The sequence below is a fragment of the Homo sapiens genome, chromosome 7 (genome assembly GCF_000001405.40).
Source record: "Homo sapiens chromosome 7, GRCh38.p14 Primary Assembly".
Taxonomy (NCBI): Eukaryota; Metazoa; Chordata; class Mammalia; order Primates; family Hominidae; genus Homo; species Homo sapiens.
The window spans coordinates 74,526,349-74,553,873 of NC_000007.14; the positions used below are offsets into that span (position 1 = coordinate 74,526,349).

A 27,525-nucleotide genomic window follows, 5' to 3' on the forward strand; every position below is an offset into this window, starting at 1 on the left:
GGGGACCCCACGGGTGGTGGGGACGGGGTCTGGCAGCCCAAGGCATTCCACTGGTCGTGGGTGAGCAAACCCTGCTCCCAGCTCTACCAGCCACCAAATCTGGGTGAATTGGGCCAGTGACAGTGTGGGTGGTACAAAGGAGGAAGAAACAGAAAAATTAGAATTGGGGGAAACATTAGGCTTCAGGAAGTCTCGAGGACATGTCCTCTGGGATGATGCTGGGACCAGGTGAGGGGCCGAGGAGGGTGCATGGTGGCACTGCATGAAGGCAGCCCCTTCCCAAGGGGCAACAGCAGGGTTCGGGGGTTGGCCCTCTGTCCACTGAATCTCCCCAGTGCTGAAAAGACAAGCCCCAATAAACCAGATGAACCAGACGGAGACAAATTCACAGGCACTCAAAGGACCAATTGCTCAAGGGCTGGGGCTGGGGGTGGCTGCTGATGTGGGAGGTGGGGGGGAAGTGGGGAGAGATGCTTTGCCAGCTGTTGAGATTTCGAAGGTTTCATTTGACAACGAGCTAAGTGTGACATCTCAGTGGGATCTGGATGCCAAAGCCGCCAACGCAGACCTGGGCCGCTGCATCAACAGGAAAACAGTGTCAGAGGCACCCAAGGGAGGGCCCAAGCAGGGCTGGAGGGAGGTCCAGCTCTGGGCTGGCACTTACAGGAACACAGACAAAGCATAGTGTGGCCAGAGAAGCAGGGCTAGGACAGGGAGGGGCCTGAGGAACAGCCAGGAGATATGGGAGCCTGGAGGGAGGACAGTGTATCGAGGCCCCGTCCATGGTCATACGGGGAGGCAAGAGTGAAGTGGATACTCAGGTCAGGGGAAGGGTGACCCATGAAAGTACTTGCTTAAGGCCAGGAGCGGTGGCTCATGCCTGTAATCTTAGCACTTTGGGAAGCTGAGGCAAGAGGATCACTTGAGCCCAGGAGTTCAAGATCAGTCTGGGCAACATAGCAAGACCCCGTCTCTTCAAAAAATAAAAAAGTAAATAGCTGGGCATGGTAACACATGCCTGTAGTCCTAGCTACTCAAAAGGCTGAGGTAGGAGGATGACTTTAGCCAGAAGTCGAGGCTGCAGTGAGCAATGATTATGCCACTGCACTTCAGCCTGGGCTGTTAGCAAGACCCTGTCTCTGAAAAAGAAAGAAAGAAAGTACCAGCTTGTATTAGGAACATAGTAGGTGCTTAAAAAGTATTTGGTGTGGGGCCGGGGACTGTGGTTCACTCCTTTAATCCCAGCACTTTGGGAGGCCAAGGCAGGCGGATCACCTGAGGTCAGGAGTTCAAAACCAGCCTGGCCAACATGGTGAAACCCTGACTCTACTAAAAATACAAAAATTAGCTGGGCGTGGTGGCACACGCCTGTAATCCCAGCTACTCGGGAGGCTGAGGCAGGAGAATTGCTTGAACCCAGTCAGGGAGTTTGCAGTGAGCCAAGATTGTGCCGCTGCACTCCAGCCTGGGCAACAGAGCAAGACTCCATCAGGGAAAAAAAAAAAGTATTTGATGAATGAATTAATGAAAACGTGTAGCTGGGGTCGAAGTGAATGACTGAAATGGCACAAGTCTGGGAAAACAGAGCAAGTAGCCTGGGCATGAGCCTGGATTCTGTCTGCTTGGCTGTTGGCAGAGCCGTCAGCTTCTGGGGTGTGTTTTGTTTATGGCGCTGGTGAATGAAGGGCGTGCCAAGCTCCTCCCTGGAAGAAGGCACACACCTGTGCTCACCTGTGCAACTACTCGCCTGCCAGGAGCTAATCTCAAGCTTGGGCACTTCCTTTAGCCATTTGTATATTCACTATGCAGAAAGCACTTAGTGTGTGCCCAGCCCCATTGAGGTCGCAGTGGCAAGGCAGAAAACAAAACCCCTACTCTTTTTCAGACAGTCTCGCTCTGTCACCCAGGCTGGAGTGTAGTGGTGCAATCACAGCTCACTGCATCTTCGAACTCCTGGACTCAAGCGATCCTCCAGCATCAGCCTGCCAAGTAGCTGGGACTACAGGCCCAAGCCCGGCTAATTTTTTGTATTTTTATAGAGATGGCTTCTTACTGTGTTGCCCAGGCTGGTCTTGAACTCCTGGGCTCAAGCATTTCCCAACAACTGTAGCCTTCCAAAGTGCTGGGATGACAGGCATGAGCCACTGCACCTGGCCAAAACCCCTGTTCTTATGCAGCTTCCTTTCTAGACAGTACACATAGAGATGAGTGTGGATGTAGTGTCAGGTGATGACCAGTGGATGACAGACACAGCAGGGGAGGGAATGAGGGATGGAGGAGGCTGTGTTAGGCTGCCAAAGTGCTATTTGAGCAAACACCTGAAAGGAGGGAGGGAGGGAGGGAGGGAAGGAAAGATGGGTGGATGGATGGATGGATGGATGGATGGATGGATGGATGGATGGATGGATGAATGGATGGATGGGCAGATGGATATACAGCCGGGTGGGTGGGTGGGTGGATGGATGGATGGATGGATGGATGGATGGATGGATGGATGAAAGGATGGATGGATGAATGGGCAGATGGATGGATGGATGGATGGATGGATGGATGGATGGATGGATGGATGGATGGACGGACAACCGGGTGGATGGGTGGATGGATGGATGGATGGATGGATGGATGGATGGATGGATGGATAGACGGATGGATGGATGGATGGATAGACGGACTGATGGATGGATGTTTATGGATTTCTAGGAGAAAGGGATCTGAGCAGACAGAAGAGCAGGTACAAAGGCATTGAACCGAGTGTATGCTCCTGGCCTGTAGGGGAAGCACCAAGGGGGCGGCAGGGGTAGGGGGAGCACACAGAGGCATGAAGGGGGCAGATGAGGCCAGAGGTGATGAAGTCACATACGTAGGACTTTGGCTGTCACCAAATGAGATGGGAGCCACTGGACATTTTTTATTTTTATTTTTTGAGACAGGGTCTCACTCTGTTGCCCAGGCTGGAGTGCAGTGGCATGATCTTGGCTCACTGCAGCTTCGAACTCCTAGGCTCAAGTGATTCTCCCACCTCAGCCTCCCGAGTAGCTGGGACCACAGGCGTGCACCACCACACCTAGCTTTTTGTATTTTACTTTCTGCAGAGATGGGGTCTTGCTGTGTTGTCCAGGCTGGTCTTGAACTCCTGGGCTCAAGCCATCTGTCCACCTCAGCCTCCCGGAGTGCTGGAATTACAGGCATGAGTCACCGCACCCAGCCCAGCCAATTTCCTAACAGAAAAGTGATATGATTTTGACATTTCTGCAGGATCCCTCTGGCCGCTACATGGCCAGAGTGGAGTGGGGACGGTGGGAGGTGATGGGGACCGCAGCTCCCGGGTCCTGTGTGTCCAGCAGCCTGTCTAACACTCAGCCTTGCTGTTTGGTTGTCTTTCCAGCGGAAGCCCTGGGCCTGGACCACATGGTCCCCGTGCCCTACCGGAAGATTGCCTGTGACCCGGAGGCTGTGGAGATCGTGGGCATCCCGGACAAGATCCCCTTCAAGCGCCCCTGCACTTATGGAGTCCCCAAGCTGAAGCGGATCCTGGAGGAGCGCCATAGTATCCACTTCATCATTAAGAGGTGCGGGTGGGGCTGGGCGCAGTGGCTCATGCCTGTAATCCCAGCACTTTGGGAGGCCAAGGCAGGCAGATCGCTTGAGGCCAGGAGTTCGAGACCAGCCTGGTCAACATGGCAAAACCCCGTCTCTATTAACAATACAAAAATTAGCCAGGTGTGGTGGTGGGTGCCTGTAATCCCAGCTACTTGGGACGCTGAGGCAGGAGAATCTCTTGAACCCGGGAGGCAGAGGTTGCAATGAGCCAAGATCATGCCACTGCACTCCAGCCTGGGTGACAAAGTGAGACTCTGTCTCAAAAAAGAGAGGTGCGGGTGGGCGTAGGGGTCTGGCCTTCTGCTCCGGGCTTGGCTTGGGCTCCGGGTTTTGGGGCATGTGGGCTAAGCAGGGGCCTGGGGAGGCAATGATGGGGCAGGGGCAGAATGAATGGGTTCTCTAACTTAACACAGAGAATAAGACGAGTCTGAGAGAGAATTCTGTTATAGCTCCTTGTGTAGCTGTGTGGCCTATTCCTTCTGGGCCTTTTGAGGATTGAATGGAAAATGCAGGCACGGTGTCTGGCCTAATCAGGCACTTTGTAATTTTTTTTTTTTTTTTTTTTTGAATAGAGATGGGATCTTGCTATATTGCCCAGGCCTGCATAGCCTGAGTGTCAGAGCAAGGCCCTGTTTCTTAAAAAAAAAAAAAAAAAAAAAAAGGCGGCAGGGGTGGGGGGAAGGGACAATGATGGCCCCCCCGACCCAAGTTTTCCTAACATAAAATGAAAAAGTGGATGAAACACACCTGACATGTAGCAGATGTTTAATAAGCATGAGGTGTTTTTTCATTGTCCTTATTTCCCTTGTGAATTAAAACATCATTAAGTGCATCGGTGCACCTGAAGACATTTCCGACCTGGGCGTCCTTGGGCAAGTTACTTAACCACTCTGTGCCTCATTTACATAAACCAGGCCTGATACCAGCCCAGGCAACATGGCGAGACCCCATCTCTGCAAAATATTTAAAAAGTTAGCCAGGCATGGTGGCAGGTACCTGTAGTCCCAGCTACTTGGAGGCTGAGATGGGAGGATCACTTGACCACAGGAGTTCGAGACTGCAGTGAGCTATGATCGTGCCACTGCACTCCAGCCTGGGTGACAGAGTGACACCCCATCTCAAAAAATAAAAAATAGGCCAGGCATGGTGGCCTGGATTACGCCTGTAATCCCAGCACTTTGGGAGGCCAGGATGAGTGGATCACCTGAGGTCAAGAGTTTGAGACCAGCCCGGCCAACATGGTGAAACTCCGTCTCTACTAAACATACAAAAATTAGCCAGGTGTGGTGGCGCACGCCTGTAGTCCCAGCTACTCGGGAGGCTGAGGCATGAGAATGGCTTGAATTCGGGCGACAGAGATTGCAGTGAGCCAAGATGGCACAACTGCACTCCAGCCTGGGTGACAGCGAGAATCCATCTCTAAATAAATAAATTAAACATAGAATAACCAGGCCTGATAATTGTCCATGCCTCATAGTGTTGATCGGAGAGTAAATTACCAGATGTGGATGAAATGCTTAGAACAGTGGCTACAGCTTCAGAGCCTCCAAGTACACTTTTTTCTATTACACACCCCAGCCTCATCATTTAACCATCTGAGATCATGCTGGCAAAAGTGAGTCAGGAGAGGAGGGCTTAAAAAGGAGCCAGGGGCTGAGCACAGTGGCTTACGGCCTGTAATCCCAGCACTTTAGGAGGCCAAGGTAGGCGGATCACTTGAGCCTAGGAGTTCAAGACCAGCCTGGCCAACGTAGCAAGACCCCATCTCCAAAAAGAAAAAAAAAAAGTGGGGGGAGCCAGGAGGTAGAGTCTCTGCCCTGGCCCAGGTATCTGCAGGGTATGCACCATCTGGGAGTCAGAAGTGCTTTCTACAAGGCCTGAGGGTCTTGTTATTGGTGGTACAGCTCTCTGCCCCCCACCTCTGCCCCAACCCCAACTCATGCCAAGTTCTGGCCTCCTACTTCTCATGTCTGTATTCCTACTGGGATACAATAGAATCCCCCAGGGCTGTGGGTTCACACCTCAGGGGCAGATATATTGGTTCTAGCTAAGCCAGAACTTAGGAGGAGAAAGTATCTGGAGAAGATTTCTAGAACTCAGAACTGTGCTTAGAGGCTGGCCAGCGACCCCTTGGTCAGTGCCTATCATGTGGGCCTTCCAGTCCGGGCAGCCCGTGAGGGCATCTGACCGCTCCCTGACATCTGCCTCCACCCCCAATGCCCCCCCAGGGAATGGTGTAAGTCCCTGATGCTGTCTCGAACCCACATCTCCCCGACCCTGTTCTCCCTGATAAATAAATAAAACTGTAAATAATAAAACTGCAGGCTGGGCACAGTGGCTTACACTTGTAATCCTAGCACTTGGAAAGGCTGAGACAGGAGGATCACTTGAGGCCAGGAGTTTGAGACCAACCTGGGCAATATAGTGAGACCCTATTTCTACAAAAAATAAAATAAATAGCCAGGCCTGGTGGTATGCACCTGTAGTCCTAGCTACTGAGGAGGCTGACGGAGGAGGATCACTTGAGCCCAGGAATTGGAGGCTGCAGTGAGCTATGATCACGCCACTGCACTCCAGCCTGGGCGACAGAGCCAGACCCTATCTCTGAAAACAATAATAAAACGACAACCAATGCTGACTGTGTCTCCATCACTGGGTGGGGCTGAGGAAGCAGGCCTCAGAAAGGAAGCCAGTTTTCCCCCAAAATTATTCCCTGAGGCTGCCTCTGGGCCTGTGGATCCAGATGTGTGGGGGCCTTCAGGAGTGGCAGGGGAGTGGGGCCTCCAGCGTGAAAACAGAAGTCACCGTCAGCCTTGCACCCCCGGCTCTGCCTCCCAGGACTGGTGTTTTTGCCTCTGTTTTAATTTCCTGCTGGGTCCTCCCTTGGACATTGTCAGGTATGCAGGCTGGGACATCCCTTCTTTCCTCCTACATTCCCCCTAGAGCCCAAGGCTCTGTCCGTGGTCCAGCCACTCCATGGCAGGGAAGCTGTACCTCCATAATCAGCTGCCTGAGGGCCCCTGACCCACCACCAGGCACCACCCTGGTGGGGCTGAGGTTAGAAGGGAAAGAATGCCAGAACTCCAGTCCTGGAGGCAGGAGAGTGTGTGAGCCCAGCCCCGCCCTCTCAGACTCTCAGACCTTTATTTCATCCTCATTTTCCTGGCTAGAGGTTCCATGCATCATTTTTTTTTTTTTTTTTTTCAGATGGAGTCTCACTCTATTGCCCAGGCTGGAGTGCAGTGGTGCTATGTCGGCTCACTGAAACCTCCGCCTCTCAGGTTCAAGCAATTCTCCTGCCTCCGCCTCCCAAGTAGCTGGGATTACAGGCATGCACCACCACACCTGGCTAGTTTTTGTATTTTTAGTAGAGACGGGGTTTCACCATGTTGGCCAGGCTGGTCTCAAACTCCTGACCTCAGGTGATCCACCTGCCTGGGCTTCCCAAAGTACTGGGATTATAGGCTTGAGCCACCACGCCCGGCTGGTTCCATGCATCTTACCTGGATGACTTGGGTCCCTAAATGGGCCCCTGGGTGCCCAGCCTCCCCTCCTCCAATACATTCTCTGATAATCTGACCTTGTCATGACCATTGGGGCACCTGTTGCCCACAGGGTAGAGGCCAGGTGCCTGAGGACAGCACTGAAGGCCGTGCACCTCCACCTCCAGCCTCCAGTCACCTCACCTAGCTCACTGCTCTCTCTCCTGCAAAGTCTCTCCTGCTTCCCTCCCTAAGGGAAGGGCTGGCCGCTCACTGCTTGGGCCCCCTTGATTTCTAAGACACCTGTGAAGGGTCCCACAAGGCCAGGCACAGTGGCTCTTGTCTGTAATCCCAGCGCTCTGGGAGGCTGAGGCAGGAGGATCACTTGAGGTCAGGAGTTCAATGTGGACAACACAGTAAGACCCTGTCTCTACAAAAAAATTTAAAACTTAGCTGGCATTGGTGGCGCATGCCTATAGTCCCAGCTACTTGGGAGGTTGAGGTAGGAGGATCGCTTGAACCCAGGAGTTCAAGTCTGCAGTGAGCTATGATTGCACCACTGCACTCCAGCCTGGGTGATAGAGCAAGACCCCAACTCAAAAAAAAAAAAAAGGATCCCACGGTTCACCTTGTGCTGCCACGATCGGTTGGCAGCTCTGCTCTGTGCCGTCCTGTGCCTGTCACTGAGTAAGATGCAGGAGAAGTTGGGCAAAAGCCCTCAGGATAAACGAATAAGTCATTCAGAGTAGGTGCTGGTGGGAAATGGGCTTGAGTCACTCACCTGGGGCCAGAAGAGGCCCCCAGGGAGTTGTGAGCAGATTAGACCCTCCAAGACCGCCCCAGGGGTTGGCCCATGCTTTCCCTAACTGTGCAAAAATGGTTTGGGATAGGCTGGGTGCCGTGGGTCACGCCTGTAATCCCAGCACTTTGGGAGGCTGAGGCAGGTGGATCACCTCAAGTCAGGAGTTCGAGACCAGCCTGGCCAACATGGTGAAACCCCATCTCTACTAAAAATACAGAAATTAGCTGGGTGTGGTTGCACACGCCTGTAATCCCAGCTACTCAGGAGGCTGAGGGAGGAGAATCCCTTGAACCCGGGAGGCGGAGGTTCATGGGGAACCCAGCAGGAAATTAGAATAGAACCAAAAACGCCAGTCATGGGAGGCAGAGCTGGGGGAGCGAGGCTGACAATGACTCCTGTTTTCACGCTGAGAGACCCCACTCCCCTGCTGAGATCGCGCCACTGCACTCCAGCCTGGGCGACAGAGCAAGACTCCATCTCAAAAAAAAAGTTAATTAATTAATTAGATTAAAGTACAACAATTAGCAGGGCATGGTGGTGCACGTCTGTAGTCCCAGCTACTCAGGAGGCTGAGGCAGAAGAATCGCTTGAACCCTGGAGGCGGAGGTTGCCGTGAGCCAAGATCGCACCACTGCACTCCAGCCTGGGCGACAAAGTGAGACTCTGTCTCCAAAAATAAAAATAAAAATAAACGGTTTGGGATGTTCTGAGGTTCCAGACATGCCCTCTCCTGCCTGCATGTCTGCCGGATGCCCAGGTCTGTAGCTGTGCATGTGTCACTCAGTGACCATCACCAAAGGGGACTGGAGGCATCTCCCCGAGCCCTGGGAGAGTCCTCCAGCCTGCACTGTTCTCATGCCTGTCTCTCTTCTCTCCCCAGGATGTTTGATGAGCGAATTTTCACAGGTATGTGGGGACCATCTAGTCCATTCTGAAGTTTCCGGATTGGTTCCCCAACAGAACCCGAGCTGCCACCACCCTGGACTTGGTCCTCCTGAGCGCCTCCCCTCAGGCAGGGAGGGAGGCTGGGCTGTGGTTTCTGTGTCCTGGGACAGAAATGGGTCCCAGGCTTCTAGGTGCTGACAGACTGTCAGGACAACCCCTCCCAGCTTCAAATGCCCTGGACAGAGAGTACTAAAGCTGGACGCTAACCGGTGCCAGGTTGGTGAACCTGAGCCTGTGCCAGGCTCTCTTTGAAGCTGCCAGCATATTTTATTTTAATCTGATTCCAACAATCCTATGAAGGTGGCTCCACTCCACTACTCTCACGTGCAGACAGAGGAACGGAAGCCCAGCTGGTGAGCACGGGTCCCTGCTGCATGCCCAGCAGTGTGACTCCAGAGCCCATGCAGTGGCCCGTGGGCCAGCACACCTGTCCCAGGAGGAAGATGCGGGCTCTTCCCGGGGTAGCAAAAGCATCACGGTTCTTGGGGTGATCCTGGCACCCCAGTTCCGGTCCCGCCTCCCACCAGCTGTGTGACTTTGGGCAAGGTCTTGTGGGCTTCAGTGTCCACGTCTGTGAGATGAGGATAAGGGCGCCTTCCTCTGGGCTCCTGGCACGATGACATGAGAGCCTGGTCTTGTGATGCAGCCATGGGGAAGCCCCGGCCCTTTTCTGAGGGCTCAGCCCCCATAGTGTGTTGGAGGGCAGGAGAACCATCTCTGGTTGCTGCCTCCCATTCCTCCTGCCCCTTGCTCTCCCAAATCTCTGGCCACCTCTGGCACTAGGGCTGCTGTTCCTCCTTCTGGCGTCAGAGTCTCTCCCCAGGACCCGTTCCTGGCTGTTGGCTGGACGTGGCGCCCACAAGGACAGGCAGAGGCCAGGCCCTATCCCCGGGATTCCCCCAGCTTCACACACAGACCTTTACCCAGGGGCTCTGCAGCAAGAGGAGGCCAGAGGGCCTTCACCCTGACCTCCCTGACTCTCCCCACAGGGAACAAGTTTACCAAAGACACCACGAAGCTGGAGCCAGCCAGCCCGCCAGAGGACACCTCTGCAGAGGTCTCTAGGGCCACCGTCCTTGACCTTGCTGGGAATGCTCGGTGAGGCCCCGCCCCTGGCCCCGGAGGCCCGCGGCCAGCCCTGCTCTGGGCTGAGGCAGTGTTACCTGCAAGGGGGTACCCAGGGCGGCTCCCACCACACCACCACCCCTCGAAGGTGCAAAGGGAGGGCAAGGGAAAACAGACTCCACCTACTTCCCTCTGCCTAGAGAACTCTCACATAGAGAACTCTCCCGCCCCCAACATCTAGCCAGATGTCACCTCTCTCAGAAGCCTCTAAATGCCCACACTAGGCCAGGTGCGGTGGCTCACACCTGTAATCCCAGCACTTTGGGAGGCCGAGGCGGGCGGATCTCTTGAGGTCAGGAGTTCGAGACCAGCCTGGGCAACATGGTGAAACTCCCATCTCTACTAAAAACAAAATTAGCCGGGTGTGGTGGTGCGCATGTGTAATCCCAGCTACTCGGGAGGCTGAGGCAAGAGAATGGCTTGAACCTGGGAGGGAGAGGTTGCAGTGAGCTGAGATTGCACTACTGTACTCCAGTCTGGGTGACAGAGCAAGACTCTATCTCAAAATAAATACATGCCCACACCAGGCCGGACTTGGTGGCTCACTCCTGTAATCCCAGCGCTTTGGGAGGCTGAGGTGGGTGGATCTCTTGATCCCAGGAGTTTGAGACCAGCTTGGGCAACATAGTGAGACCCTTGTCTCTACAAAAAATAAAAAGTTAGCTGGGCGTGGTGGCTGGTACCTGTGGTCCCAGCTACTTGGGAGGCTGAGATGGGAGGATTGCTTGAGCCTGGGAGGTAAAGGCTGCAGTGAGCTATGATCGCACCACTGCACTCCAGCCTGGGCAACAGAGTAAAGACCTTGTTTCAAAAATACAAACATGCAGCTGGGCATGATGGCTCACGCCTGTAATCCCAGCACTTTGCGAGGCTGAGCCAGGCAGATCACCTGAGGTCAGGAGTTCGAAACCAACCTGGCCAACATGGCAAAACCCCGTCTCTACTAAAAATACAAAAAAAATTAGCCAGGCGCAGCGGCGCATGCCTGTAGTCCCAGCCACTCGGGAGGTTGAGGCAGGAGAATCGCTTGAACCCTGGAAGCGGAGGTTGCAGTGAGCCAAGATTGTGCCACTGCACTCCAGCCTGGGCAACAGAACAAGACTCCGTCTCAAAAAAAAAAAACAAAAAAAACATGGATGCATGTATACATACCTACTACATGCATACATACCTACTACATGCATACACACCTACCTACATGCATACATACATACCAACACCAGGTCTGATGCCTGTCCTGAGTGCCCACCAGACCCTGCCCCCAGCACTCAGCTTGGCTACCATCCACCAACACCCCCCAAGCACATTCTGACCTCTTAGGGGCAGGGGTGGGCCGTTTATCCCAGAATCCCCACATCATATCAGGCCTCTCCCTGCAGTTCCCTGGGAGGGAGGGAATTAACCAAATCATCTGTCCCAGGGTTCCTGCCACCTTCATTCCCCAGCCCCTTCCCCAGATTTTTAACCCTTTCCAGGCCCTGCAGGTCTCAGTCCCCCACAAGCAGTGATCAAACCCCCAGTGTGCCAAGCCTAGGATCCCCAGAGCTCCCAGATGGTGAAGAAGGGGGATCCCCAGATGGTTCACCCCAGGAGAGTGAGCAGGTGCCTGGCTCGGCCACCCCTGGAGATTGTGGTCCCTGGAGACAAGACACGGGGAATCTGTCTTCCTGGTGGAGGTGGGGAGCACCATCCTGGAGGGCCAGGGGCCGATGGGGACAGGGATGCCTTCTGCAGTGGCGCCCGCGGTGGGCCCTGACTGCCTGGAGGGGCAAGGCTGGGGCAGGGTGGCCCTGGACTTGGCTGACAGGTGTCATTTCCTGCTTCCCTTCACAGGTCAGACAAGGGCAGCATGTCTGAAGACTGTGGGCCAGGTGAGAAGGAACAGGGCCCGCTGTGTGTGTGGTGGGCCGGGAGGGCAACCACCAGCCCTACCCGGCAGCCTTGGGGAGGAGCTCAACTCAGCCCATGAGCCTGGAGTGCTAACGAGCCTCCTCTGCCCACCTGCCTCCACTAGGCCTCGCAGAGCTGAGGTGCAAGGCATGCTGGGAGCTTACTGGGGTCAGGGACATGGAGAGCTGGGTGCTGGCATCACCACTGCCTCCTGTCGATGCCCAGACCCAGGCTGCAGGTTCTTGGACCAGCAGCCTCCCCTCTGGGGGGCCTCAGTCACCGGGTCTGTAAATCGGAGCCCCTAAGCCTGGCCTGAGGGCTCCCCTGACCTCCAATTCCAGTTTGGGCGGAGCCAGGGGGCTGACATGACTTGTCCTAGGTAGGGCCTCACTAACAAGTTACAGACACCAGAATGTTCTGGAAAGAGTCACTCTGCCCAGTCGGGATCATGCCAGACTTGACAGGATTCTTCCTTTCCTCCTTGCAGGAACCTCCGGGGAGCTGGGCGGGCTGAGGCCGATCAAAATTGAGCCAGAGGATCTGGACATCATTCAGGTCACCGTCCCAGGTAAGGGACGGGCATCTGACCACCCCCTGCAGAAATCAGGGCCGGACCGTTAGCCTCCTGAGGGTCTGCCCTGGTGAAGAAGTGGCCTCCAGGCCGCTGTTTCTCTCTGTGGATTCTGAGAGCCATCGGGGTACTGTGAATGCTTTTTCTGGCCACATCTGTCCCCTGCGTTGTGAATCAGTGTTCTCAGCTCTGACCTTCCAGAAGGTCCCCTCAAAACTTCACCTCCCTGGCTTGGCTTCCCTGGGATTTGTGAGGCTGGACAGAAGAAAAAGCCATGGGTGTGAGAGGCTCTGAGTTTGACCCTACCCCCTGCCAAGCCTCATTTTCCACATCTTCAGAGGAGAGGATAGATTTGGGCGCTGGAGCCTCAGTACGGGGTGACTGTTAGAAGCCAAGAGGGTGCTGGGCACAGTGGCTCATGCTTGTAATCCTGGCATTTTGGGTGGCTGACACGGGAGGATGGCTTGAGGCCAGGAGTTCAAGACCAGCCTGGGCAGCATAGCAACACCCACATCTCCACAAAAAATACAAAACATTAGCCAGATGTGGTGGTGTGTGCCTGTCGGTGTAGCTTCTCAGGAGGCTAGGGCAGGAGGATCACTTGAGCCCAAGAGTTGGAGGCTGCAGTGAGCAGTCATCCCACCACTGCACTCCAGCCTGGGCAACAGAGCGAGACCCTATCTCAAAAAAAAAGAAATGACTGGGCGCAGTGGCTCACGCCTATAATCCCAGCACTTTGGGAGGCCGAGGCGGGCACATCACCTGAGGTCAGGAGTTAGAGACCAGCCTGGCCAACATAGTGAAACCCCATCTCTACTAAAAATACAAAAATAAGCCAGGCATGGTGGCTCACGCCTGTAGTCCCAGCTACTCAGGAGGCTGAGGCAGGAGAATCGCTTGAACCCGGGAGGCGGAGGTTACAGTGAGCCAAGATGGCGCCACTGCACTCCTGCCTGGACGACAGAGTGAGACTCCATCTCAAACCAAAAAAAAAAAAGAGACAGAAAGAAAAGGACCCTTGTCTGTGGGGAGACTGGGCTGGGTGGGCCCTGAGGGACTGTGACAGGAGTATGACAGGCAGAAGATACCCGTGTCATTCGGAGTTTTGTCTTCAGACCCCTCGCCAACCTCTGAGGAAATGACAGACTCGATGCCTGGGCACCTGCCATCGGAGGATTCTGGTTATGGGATGGAGATGCTGACAGGTAAGAAATGGACCTGGGCTGGTGGTGCTTGGGACTCAGCTCTCCAGGGAGCAAAGGGAAAGGGGTGGGCCAGGCCGTCCCCAGGTGTTTCTTGGTGTCAGCCGTCTGTAGTAGAGGAAACCCAATATATGCCTGACCCTAATCCAAGGCTGGGTTCCTTTTGGAAACCTCAAGTAGGCTCTATTTATTTATTTAGAGACGGAGTTTCACTCTTGTTGCCCAGGCTGGAGTGCAGTGGCACGATCTCGGCTCACCGCAACCTCTGCCTCCCAGGTTCAAGTGATTCTCCTGCCTCAGCCTCCTGAGTAGCTGGAATTACAGGCATGTGCCACCATGCCTAGCTAATTTTGTATTTTTAGTAGAGGCGGGCTTTCGCTATGTTGGTCAGGCTGGTCTTGAACTCCCGACCTCAGGTGATCCACCTGCCTCAGCCTCCCAAAGTGCTGGGATTACAGGCGTGAGCCACCGTGCCTGGCCATAGGCTCCATTTATAACAAGGCCCAGCGTCCTTCCCAGGAGCCACCTGTTGGAATTAATTTGTCCATTTATCCAACAACTATTTATTGAGCATCTGTTGTGTACCAGGTCCTGTGTAAGGGGCTGGAGACAAAGCAGTGAACCAAGCAGAAGTCCCCACCTCCTGGGGTGCACATCCTCATGTGAAGAGATAGATGGATAGTACGCAAATAAGTAAAATAGGCAGGGTAAGGTGGCTCGTGCCTGTAATCCCAGCACTTTGGGAACCCAAGGTGAGGGGATTACTTGAGGCTGGGAGTTCAAGATCAGCCTGGGCAACATAGAGAGACCCATCTCTTAAATTTTTTGAGATGGAGCCTCACTCTGTCACCCAGACTGGAGTGCAGTGGCGCGATCTCAGCTCACTGCAACCTCCACCTCCCGGCTTCAAGCAGTTCTCCTGAGTAGCTGGGATTACAGGCGCCCGCCACCACGCCTGGTTAATTTTTTTGTATTTTTAGTAGAGACGGGGTTTCACCATGATGGTCAGGCAGGTCTCGAACTCCTGACCTCAAATGATCCTCCTGCCTCAGCCTCCCAAAGTGCTGGGATTACAGGCGTGAGCCACCACACCTTGCCTCAACAAATATTTATTGAGCACCTGCTATGTACTAGGTCCTGCGTAAGGGGCTGGGGAAAAAGCAGTGGACCAAACAGGTGTCCCCACCTGCTGGGGTACACATCCTCGTGCGGAGAGATAAACAGTAAGCAAATAAGTAAAATAGGCAGGGTGAGGTGGCTCACGCCTGTAATTCCAGCACTTTGGGAGGCCAAGGCGAGGGTACTGCTTGAGGCCAGGAGTTCGAGACCAGCCTGGGCAACATAGCAAGACTCCATCTCTAAAAGATTTTTTTTTAATTGACTGACACAGTGTCTCACAGCTATAATCTCAACACTTTGGGAGGCCAAGGCAGGAGGATTGCCTCAGCCCAGGAGCTTGAGACCAGCCTGGGCAACATGGTGAAACCCTATCTCTACAAAAAATACAGAAATTAGTTGGGTGTGGTGGTGCGTGCCTGTAGTTCCAGCTACTTGGGAGGCTGAGGTAGGAGGATTGATTGAGCCCAGGAGGTTGAGGCTGTGGTGAGCCGTGATGGTGCCACTGAGTAAGACCCTATCTTAAAATAAATAAATAGGTCAGGTGCATTGGCTTACAACTGTAATTCACCATTTTGGGAGGCTGAGGCGGGCAGATCACTTGAGGTCAGAGTTCAAAACCAGCCTGGCCAGCATGATGAAACCCCCTTCTCTACTAAAAATACAAAAATTAGCTGGGCATGGTGGCGCATGCCTGTAGTCCCAGCTACTCAGGAGGCTGAAGCAGGAGAATCACTTGAACCCAGGAGGCAGAGGTTGCAGTGAGCCAAGATTTTGCCATTGCACTCCAGCCTGGACAACAGAGCGAAGCTCTGCCTCAAAATAACTAAATAGATAGATAGATAGATAGATAGATAGATAAAAATTAGACAGGAACGGTAGGACCTATGTGTAGTCCCATCTACTCAGGAGGCTGAGGCAGGAGGATCCTTTGAGCCCAGGAGTTGGAGCCTGCAGTGGGCTATGATGGTGCCACTGCACTCCAGTCTGGGTGCCACAGCAAGACACCATCTCAAAAAAAAAAAACAAAAATAGGCTGGGCATGAAGAATTGCGTAATCCTAGCACTTTGGGAGGCCGAGGCAGGCAGATCACCTGAGGCCAGGAGTTCAAGATCAGCCTGGCCAACCTAGTGAAACCCCATCTCTGCTAAAAAGACCAAAAAAAAATTAGCTGGGCATGGTGGCAGGCACCTGCAGTCCCAGCTACTTGGGACACTGAGGCAGGAAAACCGCTTGAACCTTGGGAGGCGGAGTTTGCAGCCGAGATCACGCCACTGCACTCCAGCCTGGGCAACAGAGTGAAATTCTATCTCAAAAACAAGCAAACAAAAATAGGCAACAAGGCAGGATGCTTAGGATGTAACACTAAGCAAAAGAGGAAAAATTGATTGTGCTTTGCTTACAACTGTGTTGCAAACGTAATCACTGGGGACAAACAAGGGTAGAGCAAAACAGTAGCAGTGTTAGGCAAAATGATTTGCGTTTTTTATTTTCTAAATCAGTTATGATGCACTTCTAATACTTTGGTAATGAAGAAAAAAATATGATTTGTCCAGCACAAACTGGGCATGACCAGACTTGACAGCAGTCTGTGGCGTAGCTATCCAGAGAGTTTGGTTGACGCCAAGCTCAGGCTGAGATGACAGCATGGCGTGGCGCCTAAGGAATTGGCACGGTGCCCAGCTGGGTTTGCAGTGGCCTTAGAAAACACCATAGAAGCCTCCATGCAGCACTCACAGCCAGAGGCTGGGTGGCACTGCAGGGGTTGGGGGCCTTGGATGAGCACAGCATCATTGCTGTTTGTTTCACAGAGCAGAACACAGGCTCAGCAAGGCTCATCCACCTCCCCAAGGTCACACAGCCTTGGGCTGGAAAACATGTTTCCCATGCAGGGTTCCTTCCCAGGCACCCCAGTCAAACCTGATGAATTAAGAAAATTCTGGCTGGGTGTGGTGGCTCACACTTATAATCCCAGCACTTTGGGAGGCCGAGGCGGGATCACCTGAGATCAGGAGTTCGAGACCAGCCTGCCCAACATGGCGAAACTCCGTCTCCACTAAAAATACAAAATTAGCTGGGCATGGTGGTGCGCACCTGTTATCCCAGCTATTTGGGAGGCTGAAGCAGGAGAATCACTTGAACCCAGGAGGCAGAGGTTGCAGTGAGCCAAGATCGCACCATTGCACTTCAGCCTGGGTGACAAGAGCGAAACTCTGTCTAGAAAAAGAAAAAAAAAGAAAAAGAAAATTCTGATGGTAGTCACATCTGTAATCCCAGCTACTCAGGAGGCTGAGGCAGGAGAATCGCTTGAACCCAGGAGGTGGAGGTTGCAGTGAGCTGAGACTGCACCACTGCACTCCAGCCTGGGTGACAGAGCGAGACTCTGTCTCAAAAAGCACAAAACAACAACAAAAAAAGAAAATTCTGAGATGTCCAGGACCACCATGGATTAGAGGATTTTGCATTTGTGTGCTTTTTCTGTTTACACATATTTGATATGAAACAGTTAAATGATACAGAACTGTGTAATACATTGAGCAGGTGCAGTGGCTCATGTCTGTAATCCTAGCACTTTGGGAGGCCAAGGTGGGAGGATCGCTTGAGCCCAGGAGTTCGAGACCAGCTTGGACAACATGGCGAAACCCTGTCTCTACAAAAAATTTTAAAAAGTAGCCAGCCGTGGTGGTACATGCCTCTAGTTCCAGCTATTGAGGAGACTGAGGCGGGTGGATCGTTTGATCCCAGGAGTTTACAACCAGCCTGGGGAGCATAGCAAGACCCCATCTCTACAAAAAAAAAAAAAAAAAAAAAAAACAATTAGCTGGATGTGGTGGTACCTACCTGTAGTCCCAGCTATTCAGGTGGCCAAGGAGGGAGGATAGCTTGAGCCCAAGAGGTTGAGGCTGTAGTGAGCTGTGATTGCTCCACTGCACTCCATCCTGGGCAACAGAGCAAGACCCAGGAAAAAGCTCCAGTCACATCCTCCTCAGGCAACCACTAGTATTCCTAGCATCTTCCTTTTGTATGTTTTTATCTATGTGCTAATTCATGTGATGACTATTTTAAACAAATTGTCCCTTGTATTCTCACCTGGAAGTTTTTTTGTTTGTTTGTTTGTTTGTTTTTGAGACGGAGTCTCACTCTGTTGCCCAGGCTGGAGTGCAATAGCATGACCTCGCTGCAACCTCCGCCTCCTAGGTTCAGGCGATTCTCCTGCCTCAGCCTCCCGAGTAGCTGGGATTACAGGCATGCGCCACCATGCCCAGCCAATTTTTGTATTTTTAGTAGAGACAGCATTTCCCCATGTTGGCCAAGCTGGTCTCAAACTCCTGGCCTCAAGTAATCCACCCATCTCAGCCTCCCAAAGTGCTGGGATTACAGGTGTGAGCCACCGTGCCCAGCCGAGGACTTTGTCTTGTTCCCACGTGTCCTCAGTGTCTAGAACAGACTAGCTTGGGAGGTGCATGCAAAATGATCTCAGCCTGCTTTCGTGTGAAGGCCAGGGTAGGCACCTGTATGGAATCGGGGTCCCTGATCCCATTGGAGTGGGTGCCATGCTTCAGAGTTGGGGCCCCCTGGCCTGCCATTCCCCAGCTATCTGGCCTGACGTCGGCAGTGCATGGCTTAGGAGATGATGAATGTGGCTTCCCGGCATCCTCTGTTCTCTTTTAGACAAAGGTCTGAGTGAGGACGCGCGGCCCGAGGAGAGGCCCGTGGAGGGTGAGGCCCTGTCTACCCCTGACATTTTACACCCACCCCCACCCCATCTCTCTTCCCCTGCCGCCCACCTCCCCTTGGCCTCTGGGTCTCTTCGTTCTCTCCACCTCATCTCTCTCCAGCACCCTGGTGTGGGGGTGGGAATCCTGTGGGCTGCCTGATATGGGAGGAGATTTAAGGATTTGTCTTCTAGAACCAGGAAGTTCCTGGTCAAAGGTGAGAGCAGTTCCCACTGCTAAGGAAAATTGCAAGCCTTTGTTTTTATTACACACCCTGCTGCTTTGCGCAAAGGTTTTAAGACTGGGAACTGAGCCTCCTCTATCTGAGCAAGTAGATTAGAGGCCTGAAAGCACAAAATTTGCTTTGTGTCCAGCAGACACGCCCATTCTCAGGAACGTGAGAATTCCCTCCCTGCTGAGAATGGAAGTAGGACAGAGAGAGAGGGAGGCCAGGGTGAGGGTGGGTCTGTTTCATCTCTGTAGTATCCTGGAATGGAATGAGTGAGTGTCAGAGGAGAGAATTGTCACTTCCCCAAACCCAGCCTGGCAGGAGGAACCATGAAGTCTTAACACAGTTCCGCTGCCACCTGGTGGCAGCCTGCTCAATTTGCAGGCTTAGTGGGTACCCACTAGTTCTATCACATGCTACACTCAGTCACATACCTAGAAAGACCCATGGTCACTCCTAGTCCACAGAACCTTCCAAATCTTCATTCAGGCTGGCGGTGCCCTAGATTTGATTTCGCAAACAAGAATGTGAGCCCAGGAATTGTGGACCTGTCTGCGTGTGCCATTTCTGAGGAAATAAGTTACCCACCGCCCCAGCCCCAGCCTTCCCCCATTCCAAGATCCCACCACAGGGCCAATGTTGGTACCAGCAGAGCAGGAACATCAGCCGAGAAGCTGCCACCAACCAGCCTCAACAGACTGCCTTTTGCCTTCCAGACAGCCACGGTGACGTGATCCGGCCCCTGCGGAAGCAGGTGGAGCTGCTCTTCAACACACGATACGGTGAGCAAGAAGTGGGACAGGGTCTGGGGGCATCCCGGCCCCCCTCCAGCCGCCCTGTTTGCAGAAGGGCTTTGGTCGCATCCCCTTGCCTGTTCCCATCCCAGCTGTTCTCTGGGCAGGGACAAGGGAGAGAGGGAAGGGAGGAGCTGGGACCCATCATGAGGATGGGGACACTAGAGAGGCTGTCACTCAGGCTCCCTGGCTCACTCACTCACACTCTGCCTCAGTCGCAGGTTGGAGAGGCCACTCCCTCCCCTGTAATGTCGCCAGCCCTCAGCCCTCCGCCCTCACCCTCATCCCTCCGCCCTCACCCTCATCCAGGGTCCTCAAGAAGACTCATAATAAGAATAAGATAAGATAACCTCAGTGGTGTGCCGGGCATGAGGCTAGGTGATTCCCCATGTTTTTCTTTTTTTTTTTTTTTTTTTTTGAGGCGGAGTCTCACTCTGTTGCCCAGGCTGGGGTGTGGTGGCGCAATATCAGCTCACTGCAACCTGCGCTTCCTGGGTTCAAGAAATTCTCCTGCCTCACCCTCCCGAGTAGCTGGGATTACAGGCACCTGCCACCATACCCGGCTAATTTTTGTAGTTTTAATAGAGACAGGGCTTCACCATGTTGGCCAGGCTGGTCTTGAACTCCTGACCTTAAGCGATCTACCCACCTTGGCCTCCCAAAGTGCAGGGATTATAGGCTTGAGCCACTGCACCCGGCCCCCTGTGTTCTTGTATCCCATCTCACAAAATCCCCGTGTCCTAAGACCCACTTTACAGATGAGGAGAACTGAGGCCTGGTAAAGGGGTGTGACTCGTCCAAGGCCCCACACCACTCAGTGGCAGAGATCGGGTTCGTTCCAAGGCGTGGTGTTGTGCCACAGCAGCGTGTGGGGTTGCTTATGGTGGCAGGAGGGACACTCGGGGGGCCTTACTGGAAGGGCGAGGCCCAGTGGACTCGGGGAAGCAATGCCGAATCTCAGCAGCCATTAGTGGTGGCTTCTGTACTGCCTGGGCATGAGGGCATGGACCCAGCGTGGGCCTTGGGGTAACCCTGGGTTGAGTTCCTATCCCCTGGCTCTGCTGTTCAGTGGCTCTGTGACCTCAGACAAGTCACGTCCCCTCTGAACTCCAGGTTCCTTTCCTGCAGGCTGGGGGGCCACTCTTTCCACATCCCAGGAAAGCTGGCAGGCCCTCAAAAGGGCTCTGGCAGCTTTGCCCCCCGACACAGGCACGGGACACAGGGGTTGAGGCTCCTGGCCCTGTGGCACCGGGTGGCCCTACAGCAGCCATGTCTCTGCAGCCAAGGCCATTGGCATCTCGGAGCCCGTCAAGGTGCCGTACTCCAAGTTTCTGATGCACCCGGAGGAGCTGTTTGTGGTGGGACTGCCTGAAGGCATCTCCCTCCGCAGGCCCAACTGCTTCGGGATCGCCAAGCTCCGGAAGATTCTGGAGGCCAGCAACAGCATCCAGTTTGTCATCAAGAGGTAAGGCCCAACCAGGTCCATGGGAGACAGCACCGGCCCTGCTCAGCACCAAGGGGCAGGAGCAGCACCAAATTGCCATCAAGCAATTCTTGTGCCTCAGCCACCTGAATAGCTGGGACCACAGGTGTGAGGTGTGTGCCACCATGCCCAGCCTTTTTTTTTTTTTTTTTTTTTGAGACAGAGTCTCACTGTCTCCCAGGCTGGAGTACAGTGATACGAACTTGGCTCACTGCAACCTCCGCTCTGGCTTCAAGCGAGTCTCCTGCCTCAGCCCCTTGAGTAGCTGAGACTACAGGTGCGCGCCACCACGCCCGGCTAATTTTTGTATTTTTAGTGGAGACAGGGTTTCACCATGTTGGCCAGGCTGGTCTTGAACTACCAACCTCAAGTGATCCGGCCACCTCAGCCTCCCAAAGTGCTGGGATTACAGGTGTGAGCCACGGCACCAGGCCTTTCTTTTCTCTCTCTCTTTTTTTTTTTTTTTTTTTTTTGACAGCAAGGTGTTAGATGGGGTTTGGCTGCAGTTGGCAGACATGAGGCTCCCCAGGCCTGCCAGACCCAAAGCCACCGAACTGACCCCTCTCGCAGTCTCAGGAGAGCAGTGTTCAGTTTCCCCAGATGCAGAATGGGAACGTCCCATCAGCTCACGGGTTCTCCAGGCTGGCGTGTTGGTGTCCTGGGCCGGGGGCTGGGAGCAATGCCCTGTCGTCCCAGAATGGGAAGGACCAGCAGTGGCTTCTACAGGCTGTTTCTGTTTCCTTGAGCGTGTTGTGTTTTTGCCAATGAGGGCCCGGGACAGCACCCATGGACATACCCTGTGTGCCCAGCTGGGATAAAAAGTCCCTTTGGGCCCGGGCGCGGTGGCTCACGCCTGTAATCCCAGCACTTTGGGAGGCTGAGGCGGGTGGATCACGAGGTCAGGAGATCGAGACCATCCTGGCTAACACGGTGAAACCCCGTCTCTACTAAAAAAAAAATACAGAAAATTAGTCAGGCATGGTGGTGGGTGCCTGTAGTTCCAGCTACTCAGGAGGCTGAGGCAGGAGAATGGCATGAACCTGGGAGGTGGAGCTTGCAGTGAGCGGAGATTGTGCCACTGCACTCCAGTCTGGGCAACAGAGCGAGACTTCGTCTCAAAAAAAAAAAAAAGTCCCTTTGGAGAAGGTGGTGGCAGTTATTGAGTAAAAATGTGGTTGGGGGATTTCAGGAACAGTGGCTCATGCCTATAATCCCAGCACTTTGGGAAGCTGAGGTGGGAGGATTGCTTGAGCCCAAGAGTTCAAGACCAGCCTGGGCAACATGGCAAGACTGTGTCACTATAATTTTTTTTTTTAAACTCTGGTGTGGCAGCACATGCCTGTAGTCTCAGCTACTCAGGAGGCTGAAGCAGAAGGATCACTTGAGGCCAGGAGTTCAAGACTAGCATGGGCAACATAACAAGACCCCATCTCTACAAAAAAATTTTAAATTAGCTGGGCATGATGGTGCACACCTGTAATCTCAGCTACTCAGGAGGCTGAGGTGGGAGGATCACTTAAGCCCAGGAGGGGTTTGGAGGCTCCAGTGAGCTATGATTGCACCACTGCACTCCAGCCTGGGTAACAGAGCAAGACTCTTCCTCAAAAACAAAAAAAACCAGGGAATGGGAGGATCATATTTCCATTTTGTGTTTGTTACTTCTGTGTTACTGTAATAGCACATATTTAGGCTTGGTTTACAGCTGGGCATGACGGCTCATGCCTGTAATCCCAGCTGGCATTTGGGAGGCCAAGGTAGGCAGATCACTTGAGGTCAGGAGTTCGAGACCAGCCTGGCCAACATGGTGAGATCCCATCTCTACTAAAAATACACAGATTAGCCAGGTGTGGTGGCTCACACCTGTAATCCCAGCTGTAATCTCCCTGTCATCAGGAGACTGAGGCACAAGAATCACTTGAACCCGGGAGGCGGAGGTTGCACTGAGCTGAGATCGTACCACGACACTCCAGCCTGGGCAACAGAGCAAGACTCTGTCTCAAAAAAAAAAAAAAAAATAGGCTTGGTTTGGTTGAAAGTGGCAAGAAAGAAGAGACTCTTAAGGGTTTGTTCCTCCAGGAGAATAGATAGTTCTCAAACTGGGAGACTCACAGCGTCATTTTTCATACAGTGGCGAGGAGATCCGCTGGGACAGGGAGCTCTACTGCAGGGCCTGCTCTGTGCCAGGAGGGAGGCTGCTGCTCCATGACACACAAAGAGCAGATAGCAAAAAGCTATGCAACAGGGCTGGAGAGCAAGAGTCATGATTCGTGCAGTAGAAGCAAAGGCTTCAGCAGGCCAGGATGAATGCAGCCACATGCCCGGTGTGTCTGGGCATATTAAAAGGAAGATTGAGCCAGGCATGGTGGCTCATGCCTGTAATCCCAGCACTTTGGGAGGCTGAGGTGGGCAGATCACTTGAGATCAGGACTACTGAAAATACAAAAATTAAGGCCGGGTGCGGTGGCTCACGCCTGTAATCCCAGCACTTTGAAAGGCCGAGTTAGGCAGATCACCTGAGGTTGGGAGTTTGAGACCAGTCTGACCACTATGGAGAAACCCCATCTCTACTAAAAAATACAAAATTAGCCGGGCGTGGTAGCAGGTGCCTGTAATCCCAGCTACTCTGGAGGCTGAGGCAGGAGAATTGGCTTGAACCCAGGAGGCAGAAGTTGCAGTGAGCCGAGATCACGCCGTTGCACTCCAGCCTGGGCAACAAGAGCAAAACTCCATCTCAAAAAAAAAAATTAGCCAGGCATGGTGGCATGCACCTGTAATCCCAGCTACTCAAGAGGCAAAGAGGAGAATCACTTGAACCCGAGAGGCAGAGGTTGCAGTGAGCCGAGATCGCACTCCTGCATTTCAGCCTGGGGGACAGTAACACTCTTGTCTCAAAAAAATAAAAAGGGAAGATCACATTTCAGGTGGTTTAAGGATAAACTCATGATAGACATATAGCCCATCAGATGTGTGAAAACAGGGAAATAAAGATTCACAAGAGAATATGTGTAATTATAGTACAGTAATTGGCTCTACTATATACATGTATAGTACTGTACTGGTTGAAGGAGGGCTTCTTTCAACAAATTCTCAGCCTGAGCAATGTGTGAAACCCCATCTCTAGGGAAAAAAAAAAATTAGCCAGGCTTGGTGGTGTGCACCTGTAGTCCCAGCTACTTGGGAGGCTGAGGTGGGAGGATCGCTTGAGCCAGGAGGTCGAGGCTGCAGTGAGCCCTGATTGCACCACTGCACTCTAGCCTGGGTGACAGAGTAAGACCCTGTCTCGAAAATTTTTTTTTTTTAATTTTTTTAAAAATACATTCCGTCCAGGCGTGATGGCTCACGCCTGTAATCCCAACACCTTGGGAGGCCCAGATAGGAGGATCGCTTGAGCCCAGGAATTTGAGAGCAGCCTGGGCAATGTATCAAGACCCCATCTCTACAAAAAATTTTAAAAATTCTCACACCTGTAATCCCAGCACTTTGAGAGGACAAAACAGGAGGGTCGCTTGAGGCCAGGAGTTCGAGACCAGTCTGGTCAACATAGCAACCCCATCTCTATTTTATTTTTAAAATTAAAAAATTAGCCAGGTGCAGTGGTGTGTGTCTGTAGTCCCAGATACTTGGGAGGCTGAGGCGGAAGGCGGAAGAATAGCTTAAGCACAGAGGGTCCAGGCTGCAGTGAGCTATGATGGCATTACTGCACTCCAGTCTGGGTGACAGAGCAAGACCTCGTCCCTTTAAAAATACAAAGAGAGGCCGGGGCATGGTGGCTCACATCTGTAATCCCAGCACTTTGAGAGGCCAAGGCAGATGGATCACTTGAGTTCCAGAGTTTGAAATCAGCCTGGCCAACATGGTGAAACACCATCTCTACTAAAAGTACCACAAATTAGCTGGGCGTGGTGGTGCACACCTGTAGTCCGAGCTCCTCGGGTGGCTGAGGCTCAAGAATCACTTGAACCTGGGAGGTGGAGGTTGCAGTGAGCTGAGATCACATCACTGCACTCCAGCCTGGGCGACAGAGCGAGACTCCTTCTCAAAATAAATAAATATAGGGTTTATAAATAAATAAAACACAAAGAGACAAACAAACTAAAAAACCATCCTGGATGCCTGCCAGGTCCCGGGCTTGCAGCCCAGCAGTAAATGCCACCAAGTCCTGCCCTGGAGTTGCCGATGTCACCCAGACAAAATCAAAATGTCATGTCAGGTAGAGATAACTGCTGTGACAGGATATAATGCAGAGTGAGGGGGAGAGAGGGACAGGAGGAACCTGGATAAGAAGGTGACATTGAAGCGGTGACCCAATGAAGGGAGAGGGCCAGCCAGGTGCATAAAGAGTGTGGGAGCAGGCCAGGCGTGGTGGCTCACACCTGTAATCCCAGCACTTTGGGAGGCTGAGGCAGGCAGATCACGAGGTCAAGAGTTCGAGACCAGCCTGACCAACATAGTGAAACCCCGTCTCTACTAAAAATGCAAAAATTAGCCGGGTGTGGTGGCGTGTGCCTGTAATCCCAGCTACTCGGGAGGCTGAGGCAGGAGAATCACTTGAACCTGGGAGGTGGAGGTTGCAGTGAGCCGAGATTGTGCCATTGCACTTCAGCCTGGGTGACAGAGGGAGACTCTGTCTCAAAAAATAAATAAATAAAAATAAAGACTGTTGGGACAGAGAAAAAGTCATGCAAAGTCCCTGAGGCAACAACGTGCTTGGGTGTTTGAAAGCTTGCAAGGTGCCCTTGCAGCTGGTACAGGGTGAGTGAGGGAAGGATGGTGAGGTTGAGGCCCAAGAGGTAGCAGGGGACCAGGCGTGTGGCCCACGCCTGTAATCCTAGCATTTTGGGAGGCTGAGGCAGGAGGATTGCTTGAGCTCAGGAGTTTGTGACCAGCCTAGGCAACATGGTGAGACCCTATCTCTATAAAAAAGAAAAATAGGCCAGGAGAGGTGGCTCACGCCTGTAATCCCAGCACTTTGTGGGGGTTGAGGAGGGTGTATCACCTGAGGTCAGAAGTTCGAGACCAGCCTGCCCAACATGGTGACACCCCATTTCTAAAAATTCAAAAATTAGCCAGGCATGGTGAGGGGGTCCTGTAATTCCAGCTACTCAGGAGACTGAGGCAGGAGAATTGCTTAAACCCAGGAGACAGAGGTTGCAGTGAGCTGAGATCGCGCCCCTGCACTCCAGCCTGGGCGACAAGAGCAAAACTCTCTCTCAAAATAAATAAATAAAAAGGTAGCAGGAGCCAGATCACATGGATTTTGGGCCAGCTTAAAGAGTTTGAATTTTATTTTATTTTTTAAAAAGTCTTAAGAGACAGTGTCTCATTCTGGTTTGTTTTTATTTTTGTTTTTGCTTTCTATGCCTATTCCCTCAAACCATAAACTAGGGGCACCCGGGCAGCTTGAGGTCAGGTGCCAATTCAACAGCAAGTCCTCATGAATGACATTTTTTATGGCTTTGTGCAGAGACACCTTGTGCTCATGAGCATTGGTTTTTTGTTTTTTGTGGGTTGGTTTTTTTGTTGTTGTTTGTTTGTTTTCTATTTTTTGAGACAGAGTCTCACTCACTCTATTGCCCAGGCTGGAGTGCAGTGGCACCATCTCAGCTTACTGCAACCTCCGCCTCCCGGGTTCCAGCGATTCCCCGGCCTCAGCCTCCTGAGTAGCTGGGATAACAGGCGCATGTCACTACACCTGGCTAAATTTTGTATTTTTAGTAGAGACGGTGTTTCACCATGTTGGTCAGGCTGGTCTCGAACTCCTAACCTTAAGTGATCCATCCACCTTGACCTCCCAAAGTGCTGGGATTAGAGGCGTGAGCCACCATGCCTGGCCTTTTGTGGGTTTTTTTTGAGACAGAGTCTCACTCCAGGCTGGAGTACAGTGGTGCTGTCTCGGCTCACTGTAGCCTCCACCTTCCAGGTTTAAACGATTCTCCTGCCTCAGCCTCCCGAGTAACTGGGATTACAGGCGTGAGCCACCATGCCTGGCCATGAGCATTTGTTTTAAGAGACAAGTCTTTCTTTAGCCCAGGCTGGAGTGTAGTGGCACAATCATAACTCACTGCAGCCTTAAACTCCTGGGCTCAAGCAATCCTGCTTCAGCCTCCTGAGTAGCTGGGACTGCAGGGGCACGCCACCACACCTGGCTAATTTTTACATTTTTTGTAGAGAAGGGGTCTCGCTATGTTGCCCAAGCTGGTCTCCAACTCCTGGGCTCAAAGCGATGCCCCTGCCTCAGCCTCCCAAAGTGCTGGGATTACAGGTTGAGCCACCATGCCCAGCCTTGAGCACTTTTTAAAGTCACGATGGCTTTCTCCACCTGTCATTTGGAAAGGGAGACAGGTCAGTGCAGTGGCCGACGGGAGAGGCCGTCTGGTGGGTTTGAGGCCAGCTCCTCCTGTTACTCCCTGTGGCCTTGGCAGCCGGCTGTGCTATTTAAGGGGAAGCACTGTCGCTACTCTGGCCTGGGACTCAGGGGCTCTGCCCAGCTTCTGCCTCTCTAAGTTTACTGCTGGGAAGTCACTTCCCCTTTCAGAACCTGAGTTCTCCCATAAAGAGGAGGGGCCTAA

At 52.9% G+C, this 27,525-nt stretch overlaps 1 protein-coding gene and 1 long non-coding RNA gene across 21 annotated transcripts in view; both read left to right on the forward strand.

Annotated features, from left to right (window-relative positions):
* GTF2IRD1 (GTF2I repeat domain containing 1) overlaps window positions 1-27,525 on the forward strand; it is a 148,700-nt gene that overhangs the window by 72,443 nt on the left and 48,732 nt on the right. For all 20 annotated transcript variants that reach the window (XM_047421058.1, NM_001199207.2, XM_047421064.1 and 17 more), the window contains exons 9-17: window positions 3,386-3,569; window positions 8,765-8,790; window positions 9,819-9,927; window positions 11,788-11,825; window positions 12,332-12,412; window positions 13,531-13,620; window positions 18,407-18,454; window positions 19,396-19,461; window positions 20,755-20,938. In XM_047421058.1, the coding sequence (XP_047277014.1) occupies window positions 3,386-3,569; window positions 8,765-8,790; window positions 9,819-9,927; window positions 11,788-11,825; window positions 12,332-12,412; window positions 13,531-13,620; window positions 18,407-18,454; window positions 19,396-19,461; window positions 20,755-20,938 (826 nt within the window). The remainder of the gene's footprint in view (window positions 1-3,385; window positions 3,570-8,764; window positions 8,791-9,818; window positions 9,928-11,787; window positions 11,826-12,331; window positions 12,413-13,530; window positions 13,621-18,406; window positions 18,455-19,395; window positions 19,462-20,754; window positions 20,939-27,525) is intronic.
* WBSCR23 (Williams-Beuren syndrome chromosome region 23) lies at window positions 6,244-6,865 on the forward strand. Its single transcript, XR_007060383.1, has one exon. It is a non-coding gene; the product is annotated as a Williams-Beuren syndrome chromosome region 23 (long non-coding RNA).